General features: G+C 38.3%; 1 annotated feature.

The window, feature by feature from the left end:
• Window positions 14,874-15,043: an enhancer, noted in NCBI's record as "experimental_66244 CRE fragment used in MPRA reporter constructs". NCBI's record gives its function as "activates a minimal promoter by MPRAs in K562 erythroleukemia cells, with activity observed for both the introgressed and non-introgressed 3:162761029 variant alleles {active_cell/tissue: K562}" and the evidence as "EXISTENCE:reporter gene assay evidence [ECO:0000049][PMID:34662402]".

The following is a 17,334-nucleotide window of genomic DNA, read 5'->3' as shown; positions in this document are numbered from 1 at the left end:
AACTCCAGGCGCTACATCTTGGTGAATGGGCCAGGAAGAAGGGAATTCATCAGAAGGGAATTCATCAAGAGTGAATGTTTAACTTTAACCCTTTACTTTAATTTCTGAGGATTCTTGTTTATTTCAATCTTGTTTCCTTTCATGGAGGACCTAGCCATTGTGTGGGGTTGGAAGGATGTCCTAGAGTAACTGAAGATTTCTGGCTGGGGCTACCCCTCAGTGTTATCTGAATGTCCTTAGACTAAGTCCAGTCACTGATGACCCATCAGGATGTCAGCACAAGGACTTCCAGTAGTTTCCTATTGCATTTTCCTTCTTTCTTCTCCCAGATATCATATCTCCTATGCCTGTTTGTTTGTTTGTTTGTTTGAGATGGAGTCTCGCTCTTGTGGCCCAGGCTGGAGTGCAGCAGCATGATCTCAGCTCACTGCAACCTCTGCCTCCCAGATTCAAGCTATTCTCCTGTCTCAGCCCCCTGAATAGCTGGGATTACAGATGCCAGTCCAGCCCCCATGCCTCGCTAATTTTTGTACTTTTGATCGAGATGGGGTTTTGCCATGTTGGCCAGGCTGGTCTTGAACCGTGACCTCAGGTGACCAGCTTGCCTTGGCCTCCCAAAATCTTGGGATTACAGGTGTGAGCCACCACACTCGGCCCTATCCTTTTTTTACGTACAATGTTGCAGGTGTTTTTGCAAACTAGAGATAGAATCTTGTTGGGTGGAGTTAGTCTGTGTCTTAGCAATCAGGAATGTAATACAAAGGGTTGTTGTTTCTGTAACTTCCTAGAAACTGGGCAAAATCAAGATTTCAGTCTAAATTTTCACCTGGTAAGGTCCCTTCTCTCCCTCAATAATAGATATTCATGGCACCCTATGGGAGCAAACTTCACCCTAAGTGTATATTCTCCTCTCCATTTGGGTTGTATTTTCCTTTATATAAGAGCTTAGCATTGTCCAGTGAATTTAAATAGTTCTTTTGGGAGACAAGTTAATTTTATTATGCTGGGGGGAATTCTATAGGGGCAGCCTATCAAACCCTAAACCTCTTTTCCTAAATTTTGCATGAAAAGAATTTGGAGTCTGTTTTTACCTAACATTCTAACCCTACACCGCCACCTAGTGGAAATGGATTTTTTTCCACGGAGAGCCTTGTTAGACCTCTGCCCCAAACCTCTGGTTACTCAATTCTTTTTTCTTCTGCATCCTTCTCTCAGTTATCAGGCCACATGTCCTATTTGTAAACAGAAAAAAAACTTCACTCTCCACAGCCAGGAGGAAGCTATCCTGATAAGACAGATCTTAGCTTCAATAATGTCCCCATCAAAATAGGGGCAGCTATTCAATTTTCATACTCTTTTAAGGCACCTGTTTTGCAATCAATTACATTGGAATTTAAACAAAAAATTAATTTTATGTTTAGAAGTTAATCAGTCCCATTCTGTGGGATTTCAATTTTTTAATGCGGCCATAGCAAGGGAAGTTAAAGATAGTTTTAAAAAACTCCCTCCATTAAAGGGTCTTTTCCAAATCCAACTACTATATAATTTCTCCCAGACCTCTGGGGCACCTCTGGTATCTTTTGGGCTGAGTGAGTCTAGGAATCCAGCATGGTGGAAGGCTAAAGTTTTAAGCAGGTAAGTGTGACCACATTCTGCTGACTAGCTTTTCCAGGACCATGGGTAAAGGTCACTCTTGTAACCATGGGGTGGCACCTATAATGGTCGCCAGGACTCAGAGGAGAGCAGAAAGGAGGAGAAGGGGGACACCATTTCTCTCTTTTCCTGCACCCTGTGTCACACAAAAGGGAGGAAGGCAACTGAGGGATGCCTTGTCTCCCCCCACTTTCTAGATGGGTAACAAACTATCTGCAGTCTGTACACCCCTCGAGTGCATTTTGAATAACTGGAAACATCTTTGACCCTAAGACTCTAAAAAGAAAACAGCTTATATTCTATTGCACAAGGGCATGGCCATCTTACAATGAGAAGGCCTAGCCTTCTTAGGGATGCATTAAATTCAGTAGTATCCAACAACTAGATATTTCTTTACCCTGCAAGACAACCCAGATCCTTGCAAGCATTGTAAAATTAACCCTTACCTCTTGGCAGCCGTGTCAGGAAAGCCTACAAAGGATAATTCCCCAAAGACAGACGCATCCTTGGGGAATGCTTAAATGCAATATCTGGGTGCTCTACCTGCTCCATTTATTTGGGAATCCCAATAGCCAAATCATTAGCTCTTCTGGTTGTGCCACTCAAAAAATTCCCAATTTTGCCTTTGCCCCTCCAGGAAATGCCCAATGAACATGGTGCCACTAGATTCCAAGTTCCCTTCTCATTACAGCACCTTAGACAAAGGAGAATCTAGACAAGTTCTCTAATAACTCTGATATATATATATTATATATATCATATATATGTATATATGTATATATACACATGTATATGTATATATACACGTGTATATATGTATATATATGCCTTTCAAAATTTAACCCAAGTGTTGAATCTTACATTAAGAGTTGGTATACTACTTTTAAGCCAAACCCTGTTTCAGGGAAACAAGAAAACCTACAGGCAGCAAAGATATTCAAAGATGAATAATAGGCAGTCAAAAAAGAAACTCAGTCAAAAGGGGAAACAGGGTAAAATAATAAAGACAGACAGAATCCTCATTCCCAATAGGAAGAGAGTCAGTGCACCTTGAATACCCTAACTGGGGCCCTAGTGACCCCATAAATAAGTGAAAAAAACCCCACTTTCTAATGTGCCTATTAAAAGTCTTGCAAAAAATAAGAAGAACCAGCAAATTAAGCAAACCTCTTAATTAATCTAAACTGTCCTTGTTGAACCAGAAACCAGATGAAAATTCCACTGCCTTTTTGGAAAGGCTGAGAGAAGCTTTAGTAAGACACACCTACTTGTCTCCCAATTTAATAGAAAACAACTTCATTATTCAGGCAGCTCCTGATATCAGAAGAAAGTTGCTGAAACAGGCCCTGTCCAAAGATCTTTCTAGTTTTATTCACCCTCAATTTAATATTTTGCACTATGTAAAAACACTCCCTTCTGTGCCCCAACTGAGGGGGTTTCTCAAGAAGGCACTGAGGTTCTTCTTAATTTTCTAGTATGTAAAGGATAAAAAATTTCCAAATCTAAAACTCAGCTCTGGCAAACTTCGGTTAGATACCTAGGTCTTGTCTTGTCAGAAGGAACCAGAGCATTAGACGAGGAAAAGATTCAGCCTATTTCCTCCTTTCCCCTTCCCCAAACCCTCAAACAGCTAGGAAAATATGGGGGCATCACAGGTTTTTGTAGATCGTGGATACCTCAGTATGGTGAAATAACTCATCCTTTATGCCACCTCATAAAAGAAACTCAAGCAGCTAGAACTCACTCCATAACTTGGCAACCTAAAACTCAAAAGCCCTTAACCAGCTAAAGCAAGTCTTACTTAAAGCATCAGCCCTCAGTCTTCCTATAGGGAAGGTATTTGATCTCTATATATCAGAAAGGAAGGAAATAGGCCTGGGAGATTTGATTAAGGCTCAAGGTCCAGCTCAACAGCCAGTGGGTTAACCATGGGGAATAACTTAACTGTTTGCACCCCACACAGGATAGCAGGACTGCTGCCATCTAAGGGAAGTCTCTGGCTAACAGACAATCACCTCCTCAAGTATCAAGCTTTGCTGCTACAGGGATCTACAGTCCAGTTAAAAACCTGCCCTTGCCTGAAGCCAGCCGCTATCTCCCAGAGGAAACTGGAAAACCTAAACATGATTTTGAACAAGTGGTGGTGCAAACTGATATAAGAAATGGTAAAAATCACTGTTTATATTATCAGTAAAGTTTTAATGAATAAAAAAGGATTTTGTTAAAGAGCATTCAGTGTAATTAAAAACAGATATCCAAGCTATGAGTATATTCAAAAGGCCTTTATGTTTTTCTGTTCATAAGTCTTGTTTATCTAAAAGAGGTTTTTTTCTTAGTTGACTGAGTTACTTTTCTCCGCTCTGTCTTGTCCCTCTTGGTGCAGGTATGAAAGGCCCTAGAATAACTTCTGGTGGCATGCAACTCCTCGGGAAAACAGAACAGGTGTTACAAATCCCATTTTGGGAAAAATCTCTGTTTTCCTCATGGAGCCCTGGAAACTGTTCCTAGCCATCTTCTTAAGGGGCCTCACGAGAGGCCAATGAGCCAGTTGGGAAATAGGCAAATTAAAAATGTTATAGCTACTGGATCTTCTTCTGTTTCTGTCTGATTATATATGTGTTATGTGGGTAATGTCTATTTAAAAAGAGGGAGCTCTAATGAGTTAACTTAAAGAAGGATAAGCACTTGAATCAATTTTTTTTTTTTTTTTTGAGACGGAGTCTCGCTCTGTCGCCCAAGCTGGAGTGCAGTGGCGTGATATCGGCTCACTGCAAGCTCCGCCTCCCGGATTCACGCCATTCTCCTGCCTCAGCCTCCCCAGCAGCTGGGACTACAGGCGCACGCCGCCACACTCAGGTAATTTTTTTTTGTATTTTTTGTAGAGACGGGGTTTCACTGTGTTAGCCAGGATGGTCTCGATCTCCTGAACTTGTGATCCGCCCACCTCGGCCTCTCAAAGTGCTGAGATTACAGGCGTGAGCCACAGCGCCCGGCCACTTGAATCAAATATTTTTAAGGGAAAAGTAAAGGCTGTAGTGCCTCTTGGTTCCTATGACTTTTATCTTTAAGAAATAAGAAGAGCCTTGGAGATTATCAATAAAGAGCAAATGTCTTCAAGATGCAAATAGATAGTCTAAATTATGCAGGTCAGACACTAGTTTTGCTAAATGTTTTAAAGTTGTAAACTGCTTCTTTGATGTATAAAACTTGTTCACCTTGCCTGCTTCACAATAGGTAAGGCCTGGGGACATATGGAAGTATTCATGTCCCTAACTATGTCGGAAGGAGTCAAATTTTATCTGCACCTAGGACATAATTAAAACAACTTAATAGGTTTTACATTCACGTTAAAAAATTGTTAAGAGTTACCATCATAACATGTAATTAAAACTACTGAAAATAAATATATATACAAGGTATGCAAGAGCAGTAAAATGTGTTTTTAGTGAAAGATTATAAAAAGGCTTGAAAATATATATTTTGCACGGAGAAAAAGGATTGTCTTAAATTAAATATAATAAAGCAAAAAGTTTAAGCAAATTGTGAAAAGATTGTAAAAATTAATCTTGCAAAAAAAATTCTGTGTGTAAACATATTAACTAAATTCAAAAGGGTATAATATAGTTTTATAAATTAAGCATTAAAATTCAAGCACAACAAGGTTTTCTTACAATGCAAATTTTCTCTAGCAAAATTGTAGAGGGTTATAAAAAGTTTGTGAAAATCTCACATCATGGTAAAACTTGTCAAAATTAACTAAAATTGTCTATAAGTTTTCATTAAAATTGTGGTTAACATTAATAGAAAACTAATGCAAGGATGGAATTTAGCTTTCTCTTAAACAGGATTTTCATATAATGATAAGGCCTAATGAAAGATTTTTGCTTTTTCAAATTTTTGAGTCATCATTTTCGCAGAACAAATGACTTATGGTAATCTGAAATTCTATTTCAGAATATCAAGTGTTTTAAACCTCTAACATATTCAACAAACTTTCCCAAATCAAATTTCAGTTTCAAGGTTGTCATTCCTGATGCCTGGCTTTTGGGTGCTGCAGATGGCCCCTTGAGCATCCAGAAGAGACGTAAACAAGATTATTTAACATGTTTACATACATAGGATTGCCAGAAAGATGTCCAATCTTCTTCAGGATATATATATCCTTACACTCCTGTAATCCTAGCACTTTGGGAGGCCAAAGCAGGTGGATCATTTGAGACCAAGAGTTCCATACCAGCCTGGCCAACACAGTGAAACCCTGCCTCTACTAAAAATACAAAAATTTAGCTGGATGTGGTGGCACACGCCTGTAATTCCAGCCACTCCGGAGGCTAAGGCATAACAATCACTTCAATTGAGGAGGCGAAGGCTGCAGTGAGCTGAGATTGTGCCACTGCACTGCAACCTGGGTGACAGAGTGAGACACTGTGGAAAAAAAAAAGCAAAAGATTGCAATAGTATAAAAGTGAATCCTCCCATATACACACTAAATTGTTGAATACTTTAGTATTGTGAAAGCCTTAGTTGTTAATAAAATTATAAATTTGTGAGTCAAATTTTAAATTGTATTTTTCATTTATGTGCATTTATAATAAACCTTCTTAGATAGCATGTTCTTATTGCATTCCTTTGATGTAGTTTCACTCTGAAGATTATAAAATGACAGATTATTTAAACATAATGTCTTGACAATTCAGTCTTTTAGTGTATTTTCAATACATACATATTAAATACTATGCGCTGCATTTGAAAATTAGATATTATTATGACATGCCAATTTTTAGAAAATTTATAACATTTTCTGGTCCACTGCTGAAATTAGTCAATTTTGTTGTGTGAAATCTGTCATATTTGCACTTTCTTCTCTCCCCTCCTGATATTTTTAGAGAATACAGAAATTTCCTCTATACCAATACCCTCTCAGAAAAGAATATGATTTCAAATATGTATAATTTTAGCACATTTGACCACATTTTCATTCTCTTAAGAAAGTAAGCATTTAAAATTAAATGTTGAATTATGCAGTACATGGATTTCCCTAAAGAATAGAACAATAAATCATTCATGACCAGGTGACAAATAATTGTTGTGGTGAATAAGGATTTATTCATCACAAAACACACCCAGCTAAATTTGTGTAAGAAGAGACCTTGCATCTTTGTGCACATAATGTTTATTTAACAATAATAAGCAATTTACAGTATACTCACTACAGCAAGAAAAAAATAATTAGAGATGAAATATCAAGTCTGTCTTCCCTTTTAATGTCATTTACATAAAAGATTTGGAAGATTTGCCTTGTTTTATTTGAAACATGAATTTCAATGAACTAAACACACCCAAACAATTCATTTTATGGCTCCTTTACTTGTGTTCAAAACATCCCTCTGGTGCTGGTAACCCAAAACAGCATTTTTATGAGGAATTCACTAACTTGTTCTCAGGAAGACATTGCACAGATTCACTATTTTCTATTCAAAACAATATTAATTAGTTTCAATGTTAGAGCCAGTGTAATTCCTTGATAAAACTACACAGAGTGCTTCATTTGCCTTTTAACAGTTAAAAGTACAGCAACCTCATTCGACTTCTTTTTCAGTAAGGAAGCCTGCCAGCCGTAGTCCCAGTACAATTATTGTTTTCACAAAGTGCTCTAAATCTGACAACAAGAAAATACATGAACTACTGTATAATAAAGTTGTTAAGAAGGTGACCCAGTTGTTGTTACCACAACTGCTTCCTCTGCCAGAGATAGCTAGGCAAAACTGCTGATTAACAGTGTCTTAGTAGCCAACGTAATTAGAGAGGACTTTTCTTTTTCCTTGTATGTAATGGGGAGTTTTAATGGTTTGAAAAATATTTGATAGTGTTTTCAACCAATTTGATCCAAATGAAAATTTAGGAAGGGAGCATTCATAGAATATAAGCAACCTCAAATAATTTTAAACAACAAAAGGGAAGATAAATAGCATTTACGAAGGGCTTACTATGCATCTTGTCTTTTAGTAATATACTATTTCAATAAAATCCCAAATAAATCTATGGTAGGTAGTACTCCTTTTTAAGGATGAACAAATAGAACTTTGACAATTTGTGTACATTCAGTCACAGGGTTTGTAACTGACCAAACTGGAATTCACAATAAAGTTAGTTCTTCAGGTTTTGGCTACCTATGAATATTTGTATATATGGTTATAAAAAAAAAACTACTCATGACGCTATACTTTCTACATTTTCTATATCTGATGTGTTATTCTCCACAAATTCCCTACCACTTGGTTTGGGGAAAATTAATTTTAGTTAAACAATACAATCAATTAAATGTAACAAAATAAGAACGTTTTAAGTAAACGTTTTATTGAAAAATATACAGTAAAAGCATGCACATATCCTGAATATCCATTCTGATAAATTTTAACAAACTGAGTACATTTGTGTGAAAAATTAGAAAGAGAAATAAAGTGTTATCAACACCATAAGGGCCTTAACGTGTCAACATCCTTCACTACTCACCTCCTCCAGAGGTAACAAGTGTACAATGTTGACCACCATTAATTATGCTTAATTATGCCCATTCTACAATATATAAAAACGAATTAAAAGACCGGGTGTGGTGGCTCATGCCTGTAATCCCAACATTTTGGGAGGCTAAGGTGGGTGGATCACCTGTGGTCAGAGGTTCAAGACCAGTCTGGCCAACAAGATGAAACCCTGTCTCTACTAAAAATACAAAAATTAGCCGGGAGTGGTAGCATGCACCTGTAATCCCAATTGCTTCGGAGGCTGAGGCAGGAGAATCACTTGAACCTGGGAGGCGAAGGTTGCAGTGAGCCGAGATCGTGTCACTGCACTCCAACCTGGTTGACAAGAGTGAGACTCCATTTGGAAAAAAAAGAATTATAAGAGTATAAAATCTCTTTTGATTAGCACTGTGTATACAAGAGTCATTTTAATTGTTATGTATAGTTGTAGCCCATTAATTCCTGTTGTCATACAAAAGTACAGCTCTACCAAAATCCCTTAATCCATTCTATCCTGGATATATATCTGGGCTGCTTCCAAGGTTTGGGTCTTATAGTTGTGAAACCGTAAATAATTCTTGTATATTTCTTTTGGTAAACATATTTATATAGTCATGTATTGCTTAACAATGGGGACACATTCTCAGAAATGCATCATTAGGTAATTTCTTGTTGTGCAAATGTCACAGTGTGTACATAGAAACCTTACACAAACCTTACTACATACCTGGGATATATGATGTAGCCAGCCTGTGAAGTACACTAAAACCTGAACAATATGTTACTATACCAAATATGCAGGCAATTGTAACACTTTGGTAAATATTTGTGTATTTAAACATAGAAAAAGCACAACAAAGTTTGGTATAAATGATAAAAAGTGGTATGTGTCTCTAGGTCACATACCATGAATAGAGCTTGCAGGCCTAGAGGTTGCTCTGTGAGTCACTGAATGAGTCGTGAGTAAAATGAAGCTCCAGAACATAATGGTACACTACTTTAGACTTCATAAAACTGCAAACTTAGTGTACTTTAAAGTTATTAAAAACATTTTCTACAATAAGTTAGCCTTAGCTTATGGTCACTTTTTTTTTTTTACTTTATAAATTTAATTTTTTAACTGTTGATCCTTTTGTGCTAACAGCTTAAAACACAAACATATTGTGCAGCTGCACAAAATATTTACCTTCTATATTTCCTTCTTCTACAAGCTTTTTTATATTTCTAACTTGTTAATTGTTTTAACTTTTTTATTAAAAACAAAGACTGAAACACGCACATTAGCCCTGGCCTACACAGGGTCAGGATAATCAATATCACTGTCTTCCACCTCCACATCTTATCCCACTGAAAGATCTCCAGGGGCAATAACACACATGAAGCTGTCATCTCCTATGATAACAATAGCTTCCTCTGGAATATCTCCTGAAGGACTTGCCTGAGGCTGTTTTACAGCTAACTTTTTTTTTTTCAATAAGCAGAGGAGTATCATCTAAAATAACAATAAAAATGTAGGATAGTAAATACATAAACAAGTAACATTGTTGTTTATTGACTACCATTAATTATTGTGTGTTCTGTACTATACATATTATATTATGTATTAAGTGTTCTGTACTGTACATGTTATATTTTCTATCATTTTGTATGACTGGCAAAGCAGTAGATTTGTTTACACCAGCATCACCACAAACATGTGAGGAATGCCTTGTGATAAAATGTTACCATGTCACTAGTCAATGGAAAATTTGTAGCTCCATTATATCCTTACTGAACCATTGTAGAATATGGGATCCATCACTGACTGAAATGTGGTTATGCGGAACATGACTACATGACTCTATCTGTTTATATGGGTTTTATACCTTAAATCTGAATTGTTGCTTATAGAGAATGCCTATCATGAGCTCTTAGACATATTCTGAAAGAGTTTTCCAAAGACAGTACCAAAATAGGTATACACATTTACTCTCCCACCAGCAATGTGTAAGAGCTCTGTTTTCTTTACATTCTTGCCGATACTAGGTCTTGTCAGCATTTTTCATTTAGCTCTCCTGGTGGGTGTTGTGTTGTATATAGCATCTCATTCTGAGTTTGTTTTGCATTTTACTATTGCTTGATGAGTTAGAACTTTTTTCTCTTTTTTTGGATATTTTGATATCTTCTTGTCTATAAGCCCTGTTCAAATCTTTTTCCAAATTTTCTATTAGATTGTCTTACTGATTTTAGTTTTGAAACAAGGTCGAATGTAACACCTTTATCATATATGTGTGTATGTATAGGTATATATGAATTAAATTTAAAATATTTTTTCCATTCTATGTTACATTTTTCACATTCTTAATAATAGATTAATTTATAATTTAAATATACTATACATTATCAAATTTTTCCTTTATAGTAGCAATTTTTGCACTCCTTTTCAGATATCTTTACTGAACTGAAAGACAATTATTCCCCTACATTTTATTCTAATAGACTTACTTTTGTACTTTTTAGATTAATATACATTCTATCTGAAATTGTTTTTTTGTGTAGAATGTGAGGAAGTTTTTTTTCCTTCTTTGTATATTCAATTGACCTAACATCATTTTCAAAAGGTCATTCTTCCTCCACTGCATTCCACTGCAATTTCTCCATTCCACAATGTCACTTTGTCCTGAGTCATGGCACTATATGTGTGAATTTGTTAATTCAACAATTTAAATCTTTTCTTCAGCCAGCACAAGTCTCCTTTGAAAAAATGCTTAAATAATTGTATATTGCTCTCTACCCCGAAAGATGAAGGGAGAGAGGACTATGTAAATTACCACAATGACTTTCAAACTTTTTTACTACAACTGAAAGATAGAAGTAAATTTTATATTGCAACCCAATATACACAGAACATAACACACACATACACACAAATACACACACACACACACACACACACAAAACCTGTGGGTGTTTGTAATTAAATGGCATGGGTTCTTCTTCTAAAGGTAGCATCTACTTTCCTTTAGAACCATTCTTGAACAAACTGTGTTCAAAACAGCTTCAGCAGAAAACGTTTTAAGAGGATGAAATGAAAAAAAAATTACTTTGTTTAGTACTTTCAGATATACATACATCCAAAAAATATATACAAGCATACTTATATATCATGCTCAGTAAGACAAGTATGTTAAACATATGCCCCATGGTCTTGAATAATGACTTGATTGTCTAATAAATCTTTATTATATTTGTAAAAAAAAATTACCAAAAAGGGAAAAAATTCAGAAATGTTTTTCAAAGTTATGATTGCTGGCAAGAAGTAAAGCAAATAGAGCTTATAAAAACCTACCATCATATAAACATTTAGCATGAAGGCCATAGATGTAATAGACGGACATCTATCTGTTGATGTTATCAACTCCTTTTATTTTCCTTTGTTCAATATTTCATGAAGGGTAAAGCTATATTGTAAAACTTTATCATTGCTCATGATAATGTATATTTAGATTTCAAATACATGTTTGTATGTAGATACATGCATACAGATGTGTGTGTGTGTTTGTGTGTGTGTATTTTAGTGACTGACTTACATTTTAGTAAAAGAAAAACAGAAAATATGAGAAGGCCATCATACTGAACAAATACAAAAGGAATATATACTCAATCAGGAAGTCAGACGTTGACTACTAGATATTTTTGAACTTCTTGCTATGGTACCACATACTGCTTAACCTCCATAAACTCTGCTACAGCCTATATTTACTCATTGTGGAGACCTAAGGAGTTAAAAGAAAACTGAAGCATGTGCTTAGCTGACAAAAATAGAAACAGGGAGAATATTCCAACAAATGGAGTCAACCACAAAAGGCCCACCAGCACCCAAGCATCCTGTTAACCATTGCTCAGCTCACAGCCCACCTGCACCCAGGCATCCGCTCTGCAAGCATTCAGCCTAAACAGCATGACCTTATAAACCGCTCCTGCATTATCAAATCAAAAATTTGATAATATGTATTATATTTAAATTATTAATTATCATCTAAAAGATTATTCAGAATGTGAAAAATGTACCATACAATAGAAGAAAATACTTTAAACTGATTTCATATATACATATATACACACACACGTGTGATAAAGATCTTATATTCAACATTACTTCAAAACTAAAATCTATAAGACAATTTAATAGAAAATTTGGAAAAAGATTTGAACAGGGCTTATAGATAAGAAGATAGGAAAATATCCTCTTTGCAGACAGCAGACAAGCTTCCCTCTGCTCTCTTGCCTGTTGCTCCCTTGCAACATATCTCTGCACCTTACTCCAAATAAATTTCACTTTCTAAACTCATTACTGTCTTGGTAAATCACTTAATTAACCCACATGCCAGCTTCAGACAGTTTTTGACAACAACATTTTGGTAGCACCTACAGGGACCTTTCCCCTACAGAACTTCTCTCCCTGTGGGAAATCTCTCCATATGCGGACTCTCCTCTCCCTTTCTCCCCTTCTACTCAAGACCCTTGGAGGTCAGTGTCTAAGTACAGAGACAACTGAAGGTGTCTGTCCAGGGCTACACTCTGGTGAAACTGAAGGGTTTCCATGCAGAAATGTGTGACTACCACCACCTGCTCAGGTGAGGGACCTAGGTTCATTTTTCTTTTTTTCTTTTTCTTTTTTTTTTTTTCAGCCTTCCAGCAGCCAGCTTATAGTAGCCCTCTGGTAGTTGATGATACATGGCCAGGTCCACCCCCTGGTGTTTCCTGAAGGCCAAGGGGTAAACAGGGCTGGCTGCCTTGCCCATAATGGAGGAAATCTCTCTTACCCTCTCTGGTCAGAGGTCCCCAATTCCTTTGTGTGGTTCCACAAACATTTTAGGAGACTTAGACCCTCTGTTTCACTTGCTCTAATTCTCCCGTGAAGACAACTTCCTCTCCTGCTTCAGAGGTTCTCAAATCATGTGATCTCAAGCGGCTTTAAAGTGATGAATCTCCCGTTGTCATTCCCTCTCCTTAGCTGGTTTCAGGCTGAATTCACCCTTCTCCCTCGTTCTTCATACTGGACTGGCCATCCAGCAAAATGCCCCAGTGTCATTGGCACCAGTGCTGTAGGCCGTTGGCCCCAGTGCCAGTTCTTACAATAGTTGGGACTCCCCTTTGGAAAATGTGTCTCAGAGTCCCTGAGCAGATACAAGTGGAACCCTTTTCCATGGCAGGATGCCCAAGTGAAAATGCAGTTTGTGTCCCCAGTGGACATTAGCTCCAAGCAGCAGAAAGTTTTTCAGTCCCAGCATAGAGCAAATTCCATCTATTTCTTCAGACTCACCTCTGGGTTGCAACCTAAAACATTGGGACAAATTTGGCTCCCAGACTCTCAAAAGAAAGTGCCTAATTTTCTGTATAATGTAGTTTGGCCTCCCAGATCAACTAGCCTGGTCTCTGAAAAAGACTTTGGATTCTAATACTCTTTTGCAACTTGATGTGCTCTGTCACAAAATTTCTAAATGGCCTGAAATTCCTCATGTCCAGGCTTTCATGACTTTCTCTCGGGATCCTGATCTCTGCCAAATCTGTTGAATGTGCTTGGCTAAATTTTCTAACCCACTGACTTCTCTTACATTCTAGATGACCCTTCCTTTGCCCTTTTCCACTCTGCCCATCCAGATAGACCAGTTGAGAACACCCTTGCATCTTCTTCCCCTGAAAATTTACCTTCACATTCAAGTATACCTACTCTACCTGCTCCTTCTCCCTCACCTTCTCTTCGTCATCCCAAACTTGTATGTCGTTTTCCAGTGCCTCTGCCTTAAGGGACCCTTCTCCACTTCACATATTAGGCCAGGGTCAGTTATAATTACATTTTGGGCCCAGAAAAGATTCTGCTACACTGAGAAGGGGCAAATGGGAATCTAGGCACCATCAGAGTCCTCTTTCAGAAAGAAAGCTAAGTTTAGCTCCTGTAACCAGGACCCTTTGAATTCACAAAGGAATTCAAAGGACTTACATTTTCTTTAATCTCAAATGGCAGGACCTTTATATTAACCTTACCACCTATTGTATACATGAGAGAAGACCTTAATTCCGTATCTAGCTCAACAATGGGCAGATGAGGTTCATAACCAGAACCATCAGGAGTCTGGCCCAGGGAGAATGACAGTCCCTGATGTTAATCCTATATGGGGCTACCATGAGGAAAATGCTGGCAGGTAATGTTGTAATTATATGATTACTTCTATAATTAAAGGCATGGAAAAGGCTGTCATAAACCAGGCAACTACCCCAAACTAAGAGAGGTAACACAGGGGTCAAATAAAAACTCAACTCTATTTCACTCCAGGCTGGCCAAAGCCATGAGAAAATATACTAATACGAACCCTAAGAAGCCCTCGCTATTCTGGCTGTTCATTTTCTCAGCCAAGCCTCTCCAGGTATTAGGCCCAAACTCCAGAAACTAGACCACGAAACAAAAAGTCCTTTCCCCACTTTGCTGGACACAGCCCTCAGGTCTCTAATAATCTGGAAGAAATATTGCAGGCCAAACGAGATGGGAAGGATTGAGAAAGAGATGAGTTGCAGACTCACTACATGGCTGCTGCCATTGCAAATTCTCTGTTCATACCAAGGACCCCAGGTCAGCCATCAGGTTGGAGCCTGATGGCCACTAAGGAGCCCTCTATCTGCTATTGCTATAATCAACCAGGGAATATTAGCCGGAACTTCCCAAACCCTCCTGAAACATCTTCTGCTCCTCATAGGCCACCAGGTGGCCCCTGTGCACACTGCAAACAAGTGGGGCATTGGAAACGGGACCTCTTCCTCATGTGGGAAGGCCATCCCACAACCAACAACTCCCATTACGGGCCAATTTGGGAGGATGACAACAGCAAATGCCCCTAACTCTGCTCACAGATGAGGCTCAGAAGCCACCCAGGCTTCTCTATTTACCATCTCCATAGCTGAGTTTCAGGTAACTCTAAATGTGGCAGGGAATAAGATTGAGTCTTTAATCAACACAAAGTCTACTTATTGAGCCCTAGTTTTTCCAGAACTACCTATTGGTTCTCAATCATCCTCACTGGCATAGACAGCAAGCTACAGCAGGAACGCTTCACTTCCCCTTTACTGTGCACTCTGAAGAAAAAATGTTTTTACTTACCCTTTCCTGGTTTTATCAAGCTGTGCTATCTATCTCCCTACTTGGAAAAGATATAATGACAAAACTCTAAACTAGCTTTCAATTCCCTAAGCATGCCTGCCCAATATTAGCATTACTAGCTCCTGCCACCAAAAGCTCCAATCTCCTAAAATCCTACATTTTACAACAAGTTCCTCTAGAAGTATGGGATACCTCCATTGCAGGACGTTCTTTGTTTGCATACCCTGTAAAAATCCATCTTGAGAACCTGAACATTTTCGCAACCCCAATATCCCTTACAGCCTGAAGCCCAAATGGGCCTAGAACCCCTAATGAAAAAATAATTGAGCATGGGATTATGATGCCCTTGCAAATCACAATGCAACTCCCCAATCTTAGCAATCAGAAAGTCAACCAGCACCTACAGAATGGTCTAAGACATAAGGGCTATCAACAAGGCAGTAATCCCTATACACCCCATCATTCCCAATTCCTATGCCCTTTTAGGCCAGATTCCTTCTGGCATCTCATGGTTTAGAGAATTAGATTTAAAGGTGCCTTTTTTGCATTCTAGTACCTCCAAACTCCCAATTCTTTGTTGCCTTTGAATGGCAAAAATCCCTCTAGCCATGTTTCTCATAATTAACCTGAACAGTCTTCCCTCAGGAATTTAGCAGTAGCCCACATCTGTTTGGACAGGCTCTCACTAAAGACCTGTTGATATGGTTTGGCTGTGTCTCCACCCAAATCTTATCTTGAATTCCCATGTGTTGTGGGAGGGATCCAGTGGGAAGTGCTTGAATCATGGGGACTGATTTTTCCTGTGCTGTTCTCCTGATAGTGAATAAATCTCATGAGATCTGATGGCTTTATAAGGAGTAGTTCCCCTGCACAAGCTCTCTTTTTGTCTGCTGCCATCCATGTAAGATGTGACTTGCCCCTCCTTGACTTCCACTATGATTGTGAGGGTTCCCCAGCCATGTGGAACTATAAGTCCCATTAAACCTCTTTCTTTTGTAAATTGCCCAGTCTCAGTTACATCTTTATCAGCAGTGTGAAAATGAACTAATACACCTGTCCACCTTCCAACTCTCTCTTAATAGTGCACTGCTTTAATATGTTGATGAATTGTTTATTTTCAGCCCAACTGAAAATGTTTCAGATTTAAATACTGTTAAAACTCTCCAGAAATAAGCTACAAAGTTTCTCCTCCTAAGACTCAAATCCCCACCCAGAAGTTTCAACTTGGGACTCACACTCACCACCAGTTTAAAAGGTCTCTCTGACCACTGCAAAAATCTTATCCTGAACATGTGCACTCCATCCACTAAACAGCAGTTACACTCTTTCCTGAGAATGGCAAGTTTCGCTTGCACTTGGATGCCCCAATTTGGAGTCATAGCAAAACCTCTTTATGAGGTGCTACAAGGACCAGAGGAGGAGCCTCTTTACTGAAACTCTGAAATGGACAATGCCCTAGAAACCCTTAAATGAGTCCTCACTGCTGCCTCAGCTCTGGCCTTGCCAGATCTTAGAAAGCCTTTTTATCTATTTGTACATGAAAGAAGGGGTATTATCATTAGAGTCCTAGCCCAACCATTAAAACCATCCCAAGGACCTATCACTTACTTATCAAAAGCCCCTGAACTGGTAGCACAGGGATGGCCCTGATGCCTCTAGGGCCTAGAATCCATGGCCCTCTTGGCTGAGGAGGCCTCCCAGCTAACTCTGGCCATGTAATACAGCCTATATGAGGTAATGAATATCCAAAACTCAAAGGTTTTCCACTGGATCTCAAATACCCAAATTAGCAAATATCAAACACTCCTTCTACAGGCATCAGAATAAAGTATCAAACCATACCATACCCTCAATCCTGCCACCCTGTTACCAGAACAAAATGCAGAAGGATCACTTGAATATTTATGCCGAGAAACCATAGATTTATCCTGTAGCATACTCTAAATCTCTGGAATACTCTCCTCACAAATCCAGAGTCCACATGGTACACATATGGCAGCAGCTTCATGCTAGAGGTGACCCGAT

This window comes from Homo sapiens, chromosome 3, assembly GCF_000001405.40.
Source record: "Homo sapiens chromosome 3, GRCh38.p14 Primary Assembly".
Classification (NCBI taxonomy): Eukaryota; Metazoa; Chordata; class Mammalia; order Primates; family Hominidae; genus Homo; species Homo sapiens.
Note: the sequence above shows the minus strand (reverse complement) of the source record. Positions and strands in the feature narration are given on the sequence as shown.